Source organism: Homo sapiens, chromosome 9 (assembly GCF_000001405.40).
Source record: "Homo sapiens chromosome 9, GRCh38.p14 Primary Assembly".
NCBI lineage: Eukaryota > Metazoa > Chordata > Mammalia > Primates > Hominidae > Homo > Homo sapiens.
The window spans coordinates 66,778,722-66,797,844 of NC_000009.12; the positions used below are offsets into that span (position 1 = coordinate 66,778,722).

At 39.5% G+C, this 19,123-nt stretch overlaps 1 long non-coding RNA gene across 1 annotated transcript, besides 2 other annotated features; it reads right to left on the reverse strand.

The window, feature by feature from the left end:
- Positions 1-9,886: 9,886 nt before the first annotated feature.
- LOC124902172 (uncharacterized) lies at positions 9,887-19,019 on the reverse strand. Its single transcript, XR_007061559.1, has 2 exons — positions 18,919-19,019; positions 9,887-10,182 (listed from the first exon to the last, which is right to left on the reverse strand). It is a non-coding gene; the product is annotated as an uncharacterized LOC124902172 (long non-coding RNA).
- Positions 12,176-12,683: an enhancer, noted in NCBI's record as "OCT4-NANOG-H3K27ac hESC enhancer chr9:66128303-66128810 (GRCh37/hg19 assembly coordinates)". NCBI's record gives its function as "activates a minimal SCP1, AML or CMV promoter by ChIP-STARR-seq in primed H9 embryonic stem cells {active_cell/tissue: H9 hESC(primed)}" and the evidence as "EXISTENCE:reporter gene assay evidence [ECO:0000049][PMID:30033119]".
- Positions 12,684-13,191: an enhancer, noted in NCBI's record as "OCT4-NANOG-H3K27ac hESC enhancer chr9:66128811-66129318 (GRCh37/hg19 assembly coordinates)". NCBI's record gives its function as "activates a minimal SCP1, AML or CMV promoter by ChIP-STARR-seq in naive and primed H9 embryonic stem cells {active_cell/tissue: H9 hESC(naive and primed)}" and the evidence as "EXISTENCE:reporter gene assay evidence [ECO:0000049][PMID:30033119]".
- Positions 19,020-19,123: the final 104 nt, after the last annotated feature.

The following is a 19,123-nucleotide window of genomic DNA, read 5'->3' on the forward strand; positions in this document are numbered from 1 at the left end:
GATGTCACATGCTAACGACTGAAACTGGACCCTTTCTTCATATTTTATACAAAAAGTTACCTCAAAAATATATACTAAAATTTAATAGATAAAATTATAAAACTCTTAGAAGAGAGCATAGGGGAAAAAAATCTTCTTGACTTTAGCTTTCTTAGATATGACACCAAAAGCACAAGCAACAAAAGAAGAAAATAGATAAGTTGGACTTCCTATAATTTATACATATATGAATATATCACATTGTATCCCATAAATACACACAGTCATTATTTGTCAATTGAATTTTTTTTTAAAGTAAAAAAAAATTTTTTTTGAGGTGGAGTCTTACTCTGTCACCCGGGCTAGAGTGCAGTGGTGTGATCTTGGCTCTCTGCAATCTCTGCCTCCTGGGTTCAAGCAATTCTCGTGCCTCAGCCTCCCCAGTAGCTGGGATTACAGGTATGCGCCACCACAGGTTAATTTTTGTATTTTTAGTAGAGACGGGTTTTCGCCATGTTGGCCAGGCTTGTCTTGAACCCCTGACATCAGGTGATCTGCCCGCCTCGGCCTCCCTAAATGCTAGGATTACAGGCCTCAGCCACTGCGCCTGGCCAGAATTTTTGTAGTTCCAAAGATGCTACCAAGAAACTGAAAAGACGACACACAGAATGAGAGAAAATATTTGCAAATCATATATCTGATAAGATATTATATCCAGAATGTATAAAGAACACTTACCACTCAGTAATAAAAAGACAAATAACCCAGTTTAAAAATGAGCAATAAATGTGACTAAAGATTTTTCCAAAGATTGGCCTATGTGCTCATAGGAAGATGATCAACATTATTTGTCATTAGAACAATATAAATCAAAACCACAAAAAAGGCTGGGCATGGTGGCTCACACCTGTAATCCCAGCACTTTGGGAGGCTGAGATGGGCAGATCACTTGAGGTCAGGAGTTCGAGACAAGTCTGGCCAACATGGCAAAACCCTGTCTCTACTAAAAATGCTAGCTAAAAATTAGCTAGCTAAAAAATTAGCTAGCTAAAAATTAGCTAGGCATGGTGGTAGGTGCCTGTAATCCCAGGTACTTGGGAGGCTGAATTTTACTTTTAGATGGATAAAATGTACATTATATAAACTATATGTCAATACAGCTATGTATTTTTTTAAAGTACAAACTATTTTTTTAAATACAAAAACATTACATAGAGTGAACTCTGTGGCACAGCTGCCATACTGAAGGAATTATACTGTGTTTAAAAACCTGATTAAAAATTAAGTTTTTAAAAAATGGGGTCATTAAATTTTATTTTAAGGTTTTAACAGTTCTTTACCCAAGCCAAACATTTTATCTACAGTTGCCCAAGGAAATGCAGTAAGCGGGTTACTTAATTTCCTCCCTGTGGCAATCCTTGGCTCTCGCCCTTCTTAACACTTTATTAATGCAAGTCAGCAACTGCTAGTTTTACATCTTATCTTTCATCAATGTTTAAGAGATAGCAAGTCTAGGGCTCACTATGATCTGCTAATATAGTTCTTAACAAGACACTTAGCTTCCATAGTTATTTGCCAATGAAGCAAGAAAGTGGTACCACTTCATCATTATTCTGATTTTATTGGAGAGAGTGAATGTGTGAGTTTACTGAGGGAAGCAGCCCAAGGAAGTGGGATGGGACAAATTCTACAACAGAGATCACCCATAGACAAGGAGTGGACCCATGAAACTTAAAGACGTAGCGATTTAGGGAGTGACTTTACATCCTAGGATTAATGTCTTTGGGGGTTTATGATTAATATTTAGTTCCTTGTTGCCATGTAACAGAAGATGTAAATGGGTTGCTGTGGTGAGTCATATTATAATTTTTGTTTTTTTTTTTGAGACGGAGTCTTGCTCTGTCTCCTATGCTAAAGTGCAGCGGCGTGATTTTGGCTCACTGCAACCTCTGCCTCCCTGGTTCAAGTGATTCTCTTGCCTCAGCCTCCCGAGTAGCTGGGACTACAGGTGCCCACCACCACGCCCGGCTAATTTTTGTATTTTTGGTAGAGACGGGGTTTCACCATATTGGCCAGGCTGGTCTTGAACTCCTGACCTCGTGATCTGCCCGCCTCGGCCTCCCAAAGTGCTGGGATTACAGGTGTGAGCCACCGCGCCCAGCCAATTTTGGTTTTAATTAGAAACTAGATAGGATGCGTACCAAATATATATTATGACGTGTCCCCACCCCCTGCCAAATAGACACATATACATTGTCTCCTTATCTTTTCTCCAATCACAGTATCTATTTCACTCACAACTTTTATGCAAAATCATGAAATAAAAATAATTTAAAAAATTATTAATCTTCAAAATCTTAAAAATTATTAATCAAATGGATAAATTTGATATATGTGATATTATTTGTCTTTGGTAATTTTGTAAAGACTTTTAAACTGTTTTTAACATTCAAAAGGAAAGACACATCTCTCTCTTTTAATGTAGAAGGTCAGTCTTGGTTATTTACAGCATACATGGGGGGCCTTATCTGATTCCCCAATCCCTGGAAAAATAGAGTTGAACGCTCATTTGATCCCATTCCACATGCTACTGGTTTCCCTCCTGTTCACCCTGCTCCAGCCTTGAGGATGTTCTTGTTGAAATATCACCATCCAAAGCTCTTCCTCTATCAGGCTTTTGCATTTGCTGTTCCCTTTTCCACATCTTCTCAAGGCTGGATCTTCTTTAGTTTTCAGCAAAATGTGAACTCTGTGAAGAGGCCTCCCTGACCACTCAAACTAAATTAGCCACTGCCCCATGACTAGTTTTTTTTTTTTTTAACTTCCTTAAAGTGCTTTAACTTCCTCAAGCCCTTATTATTATTCTTTGAGTGCATTTTGATTATTTGTTTCTTGTTTATCATCTAGAAGTAGATGACAACTTCATGACAACAGGAACATAATCCTCATGAGGGCAGGCATTTTACTAGTATTGTTCACGATTACTCTCCCACTCCCATGTCAAGTTCTGTGCTGTGATAGGCATTCAATAAATAATGGAATGAATGAATGACAGACAAATGTCACACATCATGCCACCTGATGTTATAACATCCAATGTTGATAACCGAACAGAAGCAAAATTAAAGGCCATGAGATATTGGAATGGTCACACTGATTAAAGGCTTTGTGGGCTGCACCTCATTGCACACATTTATCAATGACTGAATTAAGGTGATATTTAGCAGTTTGATATTACCTATGAAAACAAACCAAATGGATGTAGCATGCTTTCTTTTTTTGAAACATATTTAATAATTGATTTCAATCATTTTCAATCTGAATTTTAATATACTTTTAACAACAGATTTCATAGTTTGGTCTTGTTTTTCTTGTTTGTTTAGTGACTCGTTTACTTGAGCATTAATATTAAGCCAGTTCTTTGTGTAGTTATATGTAGAAGTAGCCATCAACTCCCAAGCACCAACTCCAGGCCAGTTCGAATACGGAGGACTCACTTGAATTCCTGCATCTCAATGATGGTACAGCCTGGAGCCCTTCTGTCCTCCATACCAATAGGCAGTTACAGCTGATTTGGTTGTTTGGCAGCGAATCTCTGTCCTGCTGCCTTCAAGCTGCCATTTCATTTCTTCAATATGGAGACAGGAAACGTGGCTTACCATCAGCAACAAGCTAGTAGTAATCATCCTCATGGAAGACATAAAAACGTTTGTCAAGAGGGTCCAAAGTTTGTAGCTGGTGAGAATGTACAGGAAAGAAGGAAGGAAGGAAGAGAGGGAGGAAGAGAGGGAGGGAGGGTGGAAGAGACAGAGGGAAAGTGGAAGAAAGGGAGGAAGGAAGGAAACAGGGAGGGAGTAAGAGAGTAAGAGAGAGAGCCTGAGAAAGATAGAGGTGGATTCCACACATACCAGCAAAACAAACTCATGAGGTAGAACTTTTTAGCATTTAAGCTTTGACCAGCATCCAGATGATTTTCTTTTCTTTTCTTTTTTTTTTTTGAGACACAGTCTTGGGCCATCTCCCAGGCTGGAGTGCAATGGCGCGATCTTGGCTCACTGCAACCCCCTCCTCCTGGGTTCAAGCGATTCTCCTGCCTCAGCCTCCCAAGTAGCTGGGATTACAGGTGCCTACCACCAAGCCTGGCCACCACGCCATCACTTCTCCATGTTGGCCAGCCTGGTCTCGAACTCCTGACCTCAGGTTATCCACCCGCCTCAGCCTTTCAAAGTGCTGGGATTACAGGCGTGAGCCACCGCACCCGGCCTCAAATGATTTTCAAATGTACTCAGCAATGCAAAACTATCGTCCCGAATTCTTAATTTGGTGCATTTTGCTTAAAGGAATGTAAGTTGACAAATGGTATGTGTAATTTCCCCTGTGGTTTCCCTCTTCAGAGTCTGTGCTCCCTGCATTGAATAATGAGATGTAAGTTTAGGAAATGCCTCCATGGTGTTCATTATACTTTGTGTATTTTCCCTGAGACAGGAAACAGGACTGTCTGCCAAAGAAAGCAATTTTTATAAATTCACAGCCAACGGGGAATATTCCTTTCATTTTTTTTTAGCTAAATCTGTGATTTAACAAGTGTAGAGAAGTGTTTGTCAGCAAGGAGATTGAAACCATTATGTCTTTCTCTACCTGTTGATAATGATATTGCAAGTGGGAAGTCGCAAATATATTGGCATCAATAGCAACACGGCAAGCAGATGAAGCTCCAAAACTCGTCACCCACTTTGAAGCCAAATAAAAAGCCCATTTTTCTTTCTAGTTATTAATGATGTGAAACTACAGACTGTAACTGCAAATAATCATTGGCAAGGGCAACATAAAAGTTATAAATTTAGGCTTTGAAAACAAATCAAACTTGAAGCAATCCTCTGTATTTTATTCCTAAATTAAAGATTTCCTCTTTTTTTTGAGTGAAAGAACTTATACGTAAGCATGGAAATGAGAACTAAATCATTTGCTGAAACAATTGTCTGAGAGTTACTTAATTCAAAACCACTCTTGTCATATGAAATAAAGCAGAACTTGATTAGCACGTAATAAAAGGCGATTAGTTTAACAGACAGTAAATATATTGCTAATTCCTGAAGTCTCTGGCCCCATTTTATCTTCAGAAAACTATTTCAACTGATAGCATTCTCTCCTTTCATTGAAGTCCTATAGTAATTAAAATCAGTTATTTAATTATATACTGCCTTGATATACAGAGTTCAGAGTTTGTAGGACTATTGCTAATCATCTAAATCAGGAGTTTGGTAAACTATGGCCCAAAGAATTAAACTTGGCCATAACCATTTTTTTTTCATTCTTTTTTTTTTTTTTTTTTTGAGATGGAGTCTTGCTCTGTTGCCCAGGCTGGAGTGCAGTGGTGCTATCTGGGCTCACTGCAAGCTCCGCCTCCCAGGTTCACACCATTCTCCTGCCTCAGCCTCCAGAGTAGCTGGGACTACAGGCGCCCGCCACCACGCCTGGCAAATTCTTTTGTATTTTTAGCAGAGACAGTGTTTCACGGTGTTAGCCAGGATGGTCTCGATCTCCTGACCTCATGATCCACCCACCTCGGCCTCCCAAAGTGCTGGGATTACAGGCGTGAGCCACTGCTCCCGGCCCTTGGCCATACCCATTTTTTTACATTTTATCTATGATTGCTTTCCTGTGATTGAGTTGCACAGCTGTACAGAGACATTACAGCCTCTAGAACAAAAGTAAATTTACTATCTGGCCCTTTGTTGAAATAGACCTTAAGATTGTCACGGGAAAAAATTGAATCTCCTACTCAGAGGATATTGTTTCACAAGTGCGGTCCCTAAAATGGAGCAGGGAACCCTCTTGGGGCCTGCACCCCCTCCATCCACCACCCTGCACCCCCATGCATGGAAATAAAGGAAAATATTGAGTTCCTTCAAGGGAAATTCCAGGCACCTAGCTAGCCCTGAGAAGCAAGCAACTTGATAAGCAAGAAAGTAATCACAGCTTAAAACAACAGCCAAGGAACTTCTAGCCATAAGATATTTGAAACTAAAGGCAACATTTTAACATATGTCCCTGAGTTGTTTTTCAGAAACCCAGACTCCCTACCGAGCAGATCCGCTGGCGAGTAGAACACAGATAAGGGGGAGCTGAGGACTGAACCCCGAACTCCGTTTGTCCTTGGCTCTAAATTTATTCTTGAGGGACCTGGAGGAAGCCGTGCCCACGTGCCAGAGCTAATAATCTTTTCTGCTGACCCCAAATGTTTAAACAAACTCTTTTTTCATCAATTGCAAAACAGTCTTTGAATATACCTATGACCGGTAATCTCCTACCTCAAACTATCCCACCTTTTTAGGCCAAACCAATGTATCAGTTCACAATGTTGTAACTTCTGTTTTCCTGAAATTTACCCCTGCCTTTAAAACCCTTACTTGTGGCCGGGCGCAGTGGCTGACGCCTGTAATCCCAGCACTTTGGGAGGCCGAGGCTGGCGGTTCACAAGGTCAGGAGATGGAGACCATCCTGGCTAACACGGTGAAACCCCGTCTCTACTAAAAATACAAAAAATTTGCCGGGCGGGGTGTCGGGCACCTGTAATCCCAGCTACTCGGGAGGCTGAGGCAGGAGAATGGCGTGAACCCAGGAGGCGGAGCTTGCAGTGAACCGAGATTGCGCCACTGCACTCCAGCCTGGGGGACAGAGCGAGACTCTGACTCAAAAAAAAAAAATAGGTGCTTGCGATAACTTGGAGTGCTGTTCTTACTGATGCTTACACTTTGGTAGCTCACCTCTCCTACGGGAACTGTGTTCTCAGACATGTCATGGGAAGTATGTCATCGGCACAGCTTCATTGGTAGAATTTACTAAAAATACAAGTTATCTGTATTTGCCTTATAAAGGCCTTCGTATAGTGTCCAATATTTTCTAACCAGATGTACAGTGAAAATGATTGATGCTCAAATACATTTTCATGGTCAATGCAACAACCGTTGAGCAAAAAAAATAACATTTATTGCAGACACTGGGCAGTTGTCAAACAATATTAATGTCATTAAATCAATAAATGGGCACAGAATAATGGAAGCAAGGTCGTGGATGAACAGATGGCAGTGTAATGGAGTCAATCCTTTACTGATTTAACCACTCTCCTCTTATTTCTAATGTCCCTTCCATCACGATGAGTTCTCTTTGGGATGATGTGTATCTAACTGAAGCTCCTCCTCAACAGCTGCTGAGAATTGAGTGTTGATGGTAATTATCCATATGATTTTTAATCAGACACTTTTCACAGATTCAAGTGGAATGATAACTCTATGGGAAATTGATAGGACAGCCAGAGTTATGTAAATTTTGGAAAAAAAATTAATCAACAGCTAATACAAATATTATGTCTAAAGGCTAACAACGATGATCATAATAACTCAATGGCTAATAAATAAACTAGGGAAATCCAAGCCGGAATTAGAAGTAAAAATTGGCCATTATATAATTATGACCAAGAAGTTCTTTCTTAATTAGCAAGGGGTACAGCTGTATGTTTATTTCAAAGTAATTTTTTGTTTGCAGTTACAATGTTGAATGAAAGGCTGAAACAATTCCTTCCTTAGCCCTTTCCCTTTGATGTGAAAAATTAACTCTGAGTACCCTCAGTAACTTTGAATACGCTTTTTATACCCTTAAAGACAAAAATAAAGTCATCATTTTTTCATTGACTGTAACTATTAATATATATTCATGTTACTGTAGCTTTAACTGATGACTCATTTTTAGATCATACTATCGTTGATCTATGGCAAATGCTTTTAAAACTCCTCAGAAGCTAATCATTTATGTTGAAAACTCACAAAACTGCACATAATATAATAGATAAAGGGAGGGCACAGTGAAGTTTTCATTTGACTTATCTGGGTTTTGGGATTTACCCCCTTACAGTATGTGAGCCTATGAATAAGTAGGTGAGCTTCCAGTGCTCAGAGGTTTAATGTAGAGTGTGTTTATTTTTAATATTTGTGAATTTTCTATAGAGCAGAGCTGTTTCCATTGAATTAAACCATATTTACTTCTGCTACAATATTGTAGAATGTAATTGTTCCCTTTACTATATATATATTTTTTTCTTATTTATTTATTTATTTATTTTGAAAATGAATCTTGCTCGGTCACCCAGGCTAGAGTGCAGTGGTGTGATCTCGGCTCACTGCAAACTCCACCTCCCAGGTTCAAGCAATTCTCCTGCCTCAGCCTCCAAGTAGCTGAGATTACAGGCACATGCAACCATGCCAACTAATTTTGTATTTTTAGTAGAGATGGGGTTTTGTCATGTTGGCCAGGCTGGTATCAAACTCTTGACCTCAGGTGATCCACCTGCTTCGGCCTCCCAAAGTGCTGGGATTACAGACATGAGCCACCTCACCTAGCCCCCTTTACTATATTTAAAGATGACATTGTCCTGTGATGTGTATGATGAAAAGTATATCATTGAACTCTATTCTCATATGAAAGGACATCTGATTTTCTAGAAGATTTATCTGCCCCAGGTATATTCCTGTGGGAATAATACAAACCAAATTAAAATGAAGTCTGCTTTTTTTTTTTCTATTCCTTATTGAGATTGAATTCAGAATTCCAAACAGGTTTGCTATTCATTTTCATCTTGACAAAATCAAAACCTAAATATTCTATGTGTCACCTACTGTGATGGGAAAGATAAAACTAATTATTTAATTATCAAACATGAGTAGGTGAATTATTTTTATTAATCAACATTACATAAACGTGTTTTGAGAATAAAATTTTGTATCCTCATTTTTTAACCAAAGACATAAAATATAACTGACATTCTGTAGCCAAATCAATGATATATACACCCAGATTGACCTTTAAGAGTTTAAAAATAAATGTACGCTGCATGGTCAAATGGATTTGGAGATACATAGGCTAGTAGATGAAGCACTAGGGCTTTATGAAACCTTTTTTGAGGGCCGGTGCGGTGGCTCAAGCCTATAATCCCAGCAGTTTGGGAGGCCCAAGCGGGCAGACCACTTGAGGTGAGAAGTTCGAGACTAGCTTGGCCAACGTGGCAAAACATCTTTACTAAAAATACAAAATTAGCCAGGCATGGTGGTGCACAACTGTCATCCCAGCTATTTGGGAGGCTGAGGCATGAGAATCACTTGAACACGGGAAGTGGAGACTGCAGTCAGCTGAGATTGTGCCACTGCACTGCAGCCTGGGCAACAGAGTGATACTCCACCTCAAAAAAAAAAAAAAGGTTTTTTTTTTGAGTTAGTGATACATGTTAATAAATTAATCCAGAGATTAAAAAACCACTTTTACTTTCCATGTTAAAAAAAATCAGCATACTTTCCAACTATAACCTAAAAATCTACAAAAAACTTTCCAAATTCTCAGTAAAGGAAGTATTGCAATCCACAGGAGATTATTGCTTTGTTCTAAAGACAGTTGAAACATTTTCGAATCTCTGACATTTTTTAGATCACCCTTTGCAGGGTGTGGTTCACGGAACACTTTTTTTCCTGATCATATGACATTGCCTACATAATTTTGTGATTAAATGACTTTGGAAAATCAGGATTGAGTCAAGTAAACATTCCTATCAGAACTAAATATGTTAATGTATGGTGTCCCCAAGGGGTGTGATATGCAGCATTAACTCTTAAATGTAGATAATCATGGGACTTTTATAAGCAGATACACTTTGTGAATTACTACTTTAAATATTGGTAGTAATAGATTGCTTAATCGAACTTAAATTTAAAGAGATGATGTTGGACTTCTAGTGAATGGAAGCCAAGTATTTCTATTTACTAGAAAAATGTACATGATCTATTATCCACAGTGAACTAGCAAACCTTCCATCTTGATATTTAGTTTTCATATTAATTGTATTATATTTCATCAGCTTACATTTTTTACTCACTAGGGCATACTTTTATTTTTTTCATTGCAATAGCTTATTCAATATCTGCCTATTCATATATTAAGTAATAACTTTTTTTTAACCTGCATCTCACACAGAGAAATCATGAGGAAATCTCCACTCATTCTGGTCAGCATCACAGTTGCAGTATGTTGCAGGATTCCTGGGAGTCGATGTGATTTTTTCTAATACACACATATGTTTCTCAACATTGGGCAAATAACCTCTCCGGTAACTGTGCGCTTCGCTGGTTCTTCCTACCTACCAGCTCAACAGGGTATCATCTGAAAAAAGAATATGAGAAAGGCGAGTCCTATTTAGCCCAACTACTCACCCTCTAATGCGGTTCCGCTTCCGCTCAGATAATGACGTAAAAACAGTTTTTTGGTGTGTGTGGGTTTTTTTTTTTTTGGGGGGGTGGTGGCAGAGTCTTGCTCTGTTGCCCAGGCTGGAGTGCAGTGGCGTGATCTCGGCTCACTGCAAGCTCCGCCTCCTGGGTTCACGCCATTCTCCTGCCTCAGCCTCCCGAGTAGCTGGGACTACAGGCACCCGCCACCACGCCCGGCTAGCTTTTTGTATTTTTAGTAGAGACGGGGTTTCACCGTGTTCGCCAGGATGGTCTCGATCTCCTGACCTTGTGATCTGCCCGCCTCGGCCTCCCAAAGTGCTGGGATTACAGGTGTGAGCCACTGCACCCAGCCGAAAGAAACAGCTTTAAGAAAATAACAATCCAAACCCTGCAACAGAACATTTCTTTAAGAATACTAACCAGCTTTTTTTTTTTTTTAATTAAAAAAATATTTACGGCTGGGCGCGGTGGCTCATGCCTGTAATCCCAGCACTTTGGGAGGCTGAGGCGGGCGGATCACGAGGTCAGGAGATCAAGACCATCCTGGCCAACACGGTGAAACCCTGTCTCTGCTGAAAATACAAAAAAATTAGCCGGGCATGGTCGTGGGCTCATGTAGTCCCAGTTCACGGGAGGCTGAGGCAGGAGAATGGTGTGAACTCAGGAGGCGGAGCTTACAGTGAACCGAGATGGCGCCACTGCACTCCAGCCTGGGGGACAGAGCGAGACTCTGTCTCAAAAAAACATAAAATAAAATAAAGAGCCTTTAATATGTTCAGTAATTACACAAAATTAATTATCTTGAGCAGACCAGTTACATAATTTCTTTTGTTTTTGTTTTCTCTTTCTTTCTTTCTTTTTTTTTACACAGAGTCTTGCTTTGTCACCCAGGCTGGAGTGCGGTGGCCTGATCTTGGCTCGCTGCAGCCTCTGCCACCTGAATTCAAGCGATTCTCCTGTCTCACTCTCCAAGTAGCTAGTACTACAGGTGCATTCCACCCCACCTGGCTAATTTTGTGTTTTTAGTAGAGACGGGATGTCACCATGTTGGCCAGGCTGATCTTGAACTCCTAACCTCTGGTGATCCTCCTGCCTTGGCCTCCCAAAATGCTGGGATTACAGGCATAAGCCATCACGCCCTGCCCTGTAATTTCTTGAAAACAATTTTCAAAGATTGTTTTCATAAAAATAAGTAGCAGCTATGTAGAGATTGAAGCTAAAATCTGTTTGAGACAATGGAGTGCCTATCTAAAACCCTAATGTCATGAGGAGATATGATTTGTTATTGCATTTATTAGATAAAACCCCCAGCTGCATATTAAACATTTAGCGTGACATGGTTCTACTTCTTTGTATTATCGGAGCTCAGAGCACAGTACCCCAAAGTATGGTGCCTTGGCATGTGTGGATTGTTGCACTAAAGGAGACAGGAGGGTTTTAGAAGCAAGTAGTTCTCTTTGGCCTTCTCCCATCCTTCTGTCTCCTGAAACAAGCCATAAAATCTAGAAAGCTTATCTTTTACCTACCTCCCCTGAGAGCTCATAAGACCCTCATTCCAGAGGAGTCCTGCCCCTTACCTGGAGAAAGGAATGCTACACATGAAACCGTCATTGCAAAATTATAACTGAGGCAGTGAAAGAGATCTGACCTAACCAACTCCATCTTGCTTCTAACTTCCAAGCTGTCCTTCGTCATTCCTTGGCGTAGGCTGAACTAACTTTGGAAGGAACTTAGTTTATAATTTATAGATTAAAATGAACATAATGACAGCTCTTTCCCAAAACAAATCCCTTTCTTGCTTAGGGACTAGACTGCCTTTGTAGGACTAACAAACTAGTCACAAGATTAGAAATTATGGTTTAGGAGTCATGCAGCTGGAGGCTACGAGGTTCTTTCCAGATTGCTCCAGGGGATAACATCACTACTGTAAAGCCTAAGACCAGCTCTTGAGATATTTTGCAGACGCTGCACTTGATGGATCAGCAGCCATCACCCCGATCGATAAACTGGCTCATCTGATATTGTGGCCCCACTCAGGAACTGACTCAGCACAAGAGGACAGCTTTGACTCCCTATGACCTGACCAATCAGCACACCCAACTCACTGCCCCCCACCAGTTCACAAATTATCCTTAAAAACTCTGATCCCCAAATGCTCCAGGAGACTAATTTGAACAATAATAAAACTTCAGTCTCCCACACAGCTGGTTCTGTGTGTATTACACTTTCTCTGTTGCAATTCCCCTGTCTTGATAAATCAGCTCTGTCTAGGCAGGGGGCTAGATGAACCCATTGGGCGGTTACACACAGAGAGACCAAGAAGAATCAGAACAAACAGGCCTTGCTGGGCTCTGCTCAGTTTATTACCATTAGATCATATCCCTTTTGTCCAGTTACGTTGCTCCACAACTATTCACTTCTTTCATCAGATTTAACATAAAAATACAGTTTCCCCCTGGGTGTTTGGGTCTTCATTTCTGAAGCCTCCTGTGTCAAGCAAAACTTTGATTAAATACCTTTGTTATGCTTTTCTCTTGTTAACCTGTCTTTTGTTATGGGGGTTTTGGGCTGTAAACCTTGTGGCGGGTGAAGAAAAGATAGGACTTTTCTCCCCTAGAGTATTTTAAAAGTCTTGTGGAGGCCTGTGCTTATGTCAAAGATGTCTGGAGGCATGGCTTGACTGTTCATTCAAAGACAAAGAAACAACACTCATGGACTTTCCTGCCTGGAGGAAATGTCACCCTTGGCCACACAGCTTCTCAGAGCAACGTTCACGTCCACCAGCGGCACTGATAACTGACTCCTCAGCACTGTCCAGCGAATGCTGCATGGAGGCTCGCAGGCACCCCAGCTTAAAAAGGAGGAGGAGAAGGTAAATACCTACCTAGTACACAGGAAATCAAAGAGCAAATCTTAAGAAGTGGGCTTAGACTCATCAACCCCTCAAAAATACTCAGCCACTTTTATGTTTTCTTCCCCAACCCCAAGCTCTCATCCTGAGGTCCTGACTGAATCTGGAGCGTGCTTCAGTATCTCCCTAATTTATAAGCGCCACTGCTCATTAAGGCTCCCTGTTAGATGAGACCTCTGCTGCAACAGCCTCTCTGCTTGTAAACATCACTGCATATATCACCACCCACCCCAGCCCAGCAGGGAAAGGAAAACAACAACAACAAATAAAATGCAATTCTAGGAATAGTGAGATATGCAAGAAGGCATCAGTATTAAACTTTCTGTTTTGTTTTGTTTGAGACTGAGTTTTGCTCTTGTTGCCCAGGCTGGAGTGCAATGGTACGATCTCCGCTCACTGCAACCTCTGCCTCCCGGGTTCAAGCGATTCTCCTGCCTCAGCCTCCGAAGTAGCTGGGATTACAGGCGTGTGCCACCATGCCTGGCTAATTTTTTTTTTTTTTTTTTTTTAGAAGAGATGGGGTTTCACCATGTTGGTGAATACAACTCCTGACCTCAAGTGATCCACTCATCTTGGCCTCCCAAAGTACTGAGGTTACAGGTGTGAGCCATCGCACCCGGCCAGTATTAAACATTTTTTTAAAAATTATGTTGAAACTTAAAACTAGGTAGTAGAAAGTACGTAAAACAATTAATAGATGGTTTTCAAATACCACTTCCAACTTAATTACTAGTCATTATATTTTCTCTTCAGATTGAAGAGCCAAGACATCATTACACCTAAATGCAAAACTGTGTGTTTACATCCAAATCTCTCATCTGTCTTATAAAATAGGAAATAAAATTTTAAAGGTACCAAATGTGTTTAGAACCATTGAAGATAGTTTAAATATTGTTAAACATTTAGGGGACTATAAGAAAAAGTTTGTTTTTTTTTTTTTAAATGAGATGGAGTCTTGCTCTGTCACCGAGGCTGGAGTGCAGTGGCGCGATCTCTGCGCACTGCAAGCTCCGCCTCCCGGGTTCACGCCATTCTCCTGCCTCAGCCTCCGGAGTAGCTGGGACTACAGGCGCCCGCCACCACGCACAGCTAATTTTTTTGTATTTTCAGTAGAGACGGGGTTTCACTGTGTTAGCCAGGACGGTCTCGATTTCCTGACCTCGTGATCCGCCCGCCTCGGCCTCCCAAAGTGCTGGGATTAAGGCGTGAGCTACCGCGCCCGGCCAAGAAAAAGTTTTTTTAAAATTAGTGAAAATATTAGACTCTGAAGAATAGAAATAATAAATAAGAAAAATGTAAATGACCTTCTCAACAATTTTAGCCACTGACTCCCATCCTCCTCTGTGCCCTCAAATTCAATTTTCAGTGACTTTCGCAGGCCAAGAGTCATCATTCCCGTTGCTGACAGCTCAGCTCCTCAGCTTGGGAGTATCCATTTTTGGACATGCATTTTTTATTGTACTTGCTTTTTTAACAACTCACATTCATGGTTTCATTTTAGAATATCCATGGTGTAAATAACACATTACTTCGTGCAATGGAGACAATATTGCTTGATTGATTCTGTATTACTCAAAAAAAAAAAAAAAGGCGAGAAAAGAACTTTTATCTGAGGAATGTGAGTCCTTTTAAATAATGAGGCCCAGAGAGACATTAAAATGAGGCAGCAGTCAAGTCCTACTCCCCGCTTTGAGCTAGGTATTCATCTCCTGAAACTGCTTATTGCCACAAGTAGCTATAAATTAACCTAATAATGTCAGAGCAAACGCTATAACCCACACCCTGTAGCTTAACAATGTATAGCCAATCACTAATCAATGTTATTTCTATAAATCAATAAGAATGCCTGACAAACAACTTTGTATCAGCCATGCCTTCTCCCCCTTTTTTGCCTTTAAAAATCTGTTTGTAACAAAGGCCAAACTCATATCCAAGGTTACACGGGTCCGAGTCCTCCTGACAGCTGTCTTCACTTTGGCTCAGTAAACTCTTTAAATTACAGAGTTTGTGTCTCAGCCTCTTCCTTTTAGGTCGACAAAATGATAGAGCTTTGGAGGTCAATATTTATCAAAACTGCCATCTTTGGGAAATCTTCTGCATATAAGAGCTGGATGTAATTGAGACAGATGCTGCTTTATTCCACAGCACTGCAAAATATTACCCTCCCTTTCAACTCTACCCCAATCGAAAGCTTCTGGAAATACTAAGTCTCTCGTGGATATTTGTGTACATTAACTTTTAAAAGAAATTCTCGAATGGCAGCTTTGCTGTGGCAGCTGTCAGGCATGCATATGAGGAAATGTGTTGTAAGTGCACAGATAAGGAATTACCTGATGTTTCTGTAGACAGATTTTCAAACTCATAATTCTTTTCATGTTCATCATCTTCTCCCCAAATTAAAAAAAATTATCGTCTATATATTTATCTTTTCAGCTAGGGTTTTCCTCATCTCTATATGCATTTCTCTCATTTTCAAATATATTTTTAGGACACGCATGTTCAGATCATGTGGACTACAAGTTATCATAACTTTTGTTAAATAAAAATATATTATCCAGTATCAGCTCCTCAAACAAAATGACTTTGGGTCCATAATGGCTACTGAAATGTCAACTGACAAAAATTCAAATATATTTCTGGCACATCGTTTATTTACTTCTTTTGTATTTAAAAATGAAATACAACCTGCCCAATCGTGTAACAGGCAAAAGCATTCTTAGATCTTTTACCCCTCTAAGACCAAATGCCCAACTGGAGCATTTATGCTGTTTGTACAGCATTGCCCAGCTGCAGAGAAGCCCAAGGCTCAGAGGGTAAGAAGTGACTGGAAGTTGTCTTGCTACGTATGTGGTGCAGGTTCTTTAACTTTCATAAAAATATATTTGATAAGATGGTCAATTTGCATGAGTATTTACCCAATCAGAGGGTGCAGAGAACAGTTATATGGAGATTTTTTTTTAAGCTATTACATTTACATCATTTAGAAATCAAAACGAGATAAGTTACCTACCAAGGGTACCTTCCCCATTTCTACTCCCATCATAGGGAGCTGAGAATGGCCTGACTAATAAATTTGCATTAGAATTAACAACCACAGGGATGGCATACTTTACAACAACAACCCAGGGACAAGGAAAGGGGAGAGGATGTTACCAAGCCTAGGGAAACAACTCAGGCTCATGGTGAACAGGGAGGGAAACTGATAGTGTCTAACTAACACAATTTTAAATTCAGTAAGAAAATGGTTTGTTAGATCATGTAGCTCACTTACTCGCCATTGAAAAATGCTGTGAGTGTTTCCATGGAAATCTGAATTCAAAAGATCTTTCCTTTAATCATATTCTGAGATTTACACGGAAAATATCTAAAATAGGCTTTTTTTTTCCTTGAACATTACCTACTCTATATTCACCCTCAGGGTTTTTTCTCTCAAATGAATCAAATATAAAGAGAACCTTGTAGAATACTGAGTTGGGTTGTGGAGTTGACTTATCAAGTGCTATTTTTCTCATTCTCATCACAGCTCATAGCGTGTTGGGAAAAAAAATGATGCCTGAATAGCTCATATGGGCAGGTGGTCAGTATAATTGATTTCCAGTTATGTATGGTTAAAATTTAATAATAGAAAAAACATCCTCCGTAAAGGGAAGTATTGAGAATACATCTATAAAATGTTTTCTTAAGAGTAGAATAAGTTAATCTGTGGATAATAGGTGTGTGTGTGTGTGTGTGTGAGAATAATCCCTCTAAGTCACAGATTTTTACAATACTAATATTTGAAACACCCAAGCAAGGGCACAGACAATTATGTTATGTTTCCCTAATTGTCCATAGCTTATCTTCAAAGAATGAAAGAATGTTAGAGATGGGGGGAAGAAACAGCCTAAGGAATTATAAGTAACCTGCAAAACAGAAAAGTATATAGCTGATGTTCACCACCTTTGAATCATGAATAGACTTGGGAGACTAATTTTAAGAATGGCAAAATGTTGAGACAGTTTCTGTGATGTGGTTGAGTAAGACACTTCAGAACGTGTTTGCTCTGACTCACTGGAGCTTGTCTGGCATCAAAAAGGGTGATTCTTAATTGACCCTTTGTCCACCCTGTCAAGAGCGGTCAAAAGAACACACAATTTAGCAGGTTAAACTATTTTAATTTCATTATTTAATGGGATTTCACAGTATAAATAATAAAATTTACTAGATGTCATATGAAACCCCATGTTTCAGTTCATTTGCCATATTACAGCAATTTTGCAATATTGCAACTTTTTCCTAGATTTTATAATTTCCTATAAAATGTCTTCTATAATCCATCTATGTGATTTCTAAGGGAAAAAGTGATCTTATGTAAAAGGAAAATAAACTTGGATTTTCACATTAGATAGGAATGTACTCATTCCCACGTCTCCTGGAGGAAAAAAATAAAGACCCTGTCAAGAAAACATTGACAGTACTATAATTAGTGAGTCCATCATTCATGATTTGGAAATTGACCTATAAGAAAGTGGAGAAAAAACCCCCTGTCTCACAGAAGGCAAAAATCATTTCCATTTATGTCAAAATACCATCCTTTAAGAAGAAATGGAGGGCACTGATTCTGATGAGAAAGGGGAATGCAAGTCATGAAGGAATTGTGAAATAAACACACAGAGAGGATCTATCCTGTCATTTTATCTCTAAATAAAGAACTGATCCATGTCTTGGACTCATGTTGATGAGTAGTGAGGGATGGATGTAACACTAGCATCTGTGCCCAGATACACGAGGATAAACGACGTGCTACTTCATGACTCTGAGGATTTGCTGCCAAGACGGATATTTAAAGTGCAGAAATTCTTCCACAATATTGCTGCCCTTACAGAGACAGGGCATTGGTTAGGCCCTGTATTTTATCCAGGCTAACCCCCTCATCATACAGATGAGGAAAATGAGTCCTGGAAAAATTATTATGACAGAACTGGTGAACTCTGACGCTTCGGGTTTTGAACTTGGCTAAATTCTTAGATTTTGCCCAAGAACACACTCTAGGGTTTCTCACTGTAGTTTGACTGTTTTGTTCTGAGGATTTTGGAAATAGTATCTCCTGACAGGATTTCTGTGTTTTTTGCTGCTCCACTGGCTCTGAAATTTCTGAACATGCCCTATGCAGTTTCAACATTCTTCTGTAATCTCTGCTGAAACATTTTTGTATCTATATTTTATATCGATACTTTCAGTGTGTGTGTGTGTGTGTGTGTGTGTGTGTGTGTGTATGTATGTTCTAGGACCCACTTGAGGAAGATTACCTAGTCAAAGTTCATATAAATGCTGCATATTGTTAGGTATTGAATAAGTATTTGGTATCTCTTTATGTTATGAAGAAGTAAAGAGTGTATCCGCGTTTAAATATGAAGACAGGGTTACAGTGGAAGCATGATGCTATCATCTAGTGACACTCATCTTGCAGTATCATATTTTTACTAGTTAAGTGTTCTTTATTTTAAGTAGGAGGTACAGGATTCTGAAGCATAGTGTAAAAGATTGGAAAAGGTTTCACAGGGAAACCTGTGGGTATGAATCATACATGCTGTGGAAACCAAGGATCTTCTCAAAGTCATAGTTACTGGACTTCAAATGAAGCCCTGTGATTAAAGAAGCAAGTCAGCTTAGTAATAGCCAATATTGACTGAAAATCTGAAGGGCATTTGTTTAACCTCCTTAAATAGTTGTTATCCAACAAATCTGCTAAAAAATAGTTTTCAATTATTTAATACTTACTGTCTTTGTTCACTTAAACACAACTTGCAAATAAGAAGTAGTTATTGCAAAAGGTAGAAATGATCATCCAATGTGCAATTCCTTGTCATGAAAACCCTCCAAGGCTGGTTTAAAACAGAAACTTCCTTAAATGTTCTGCAAATAAAAATTCAAGATAATTAAAATCCAGAACAAAGGAGAAAATATTTACATAAAACACACTTCT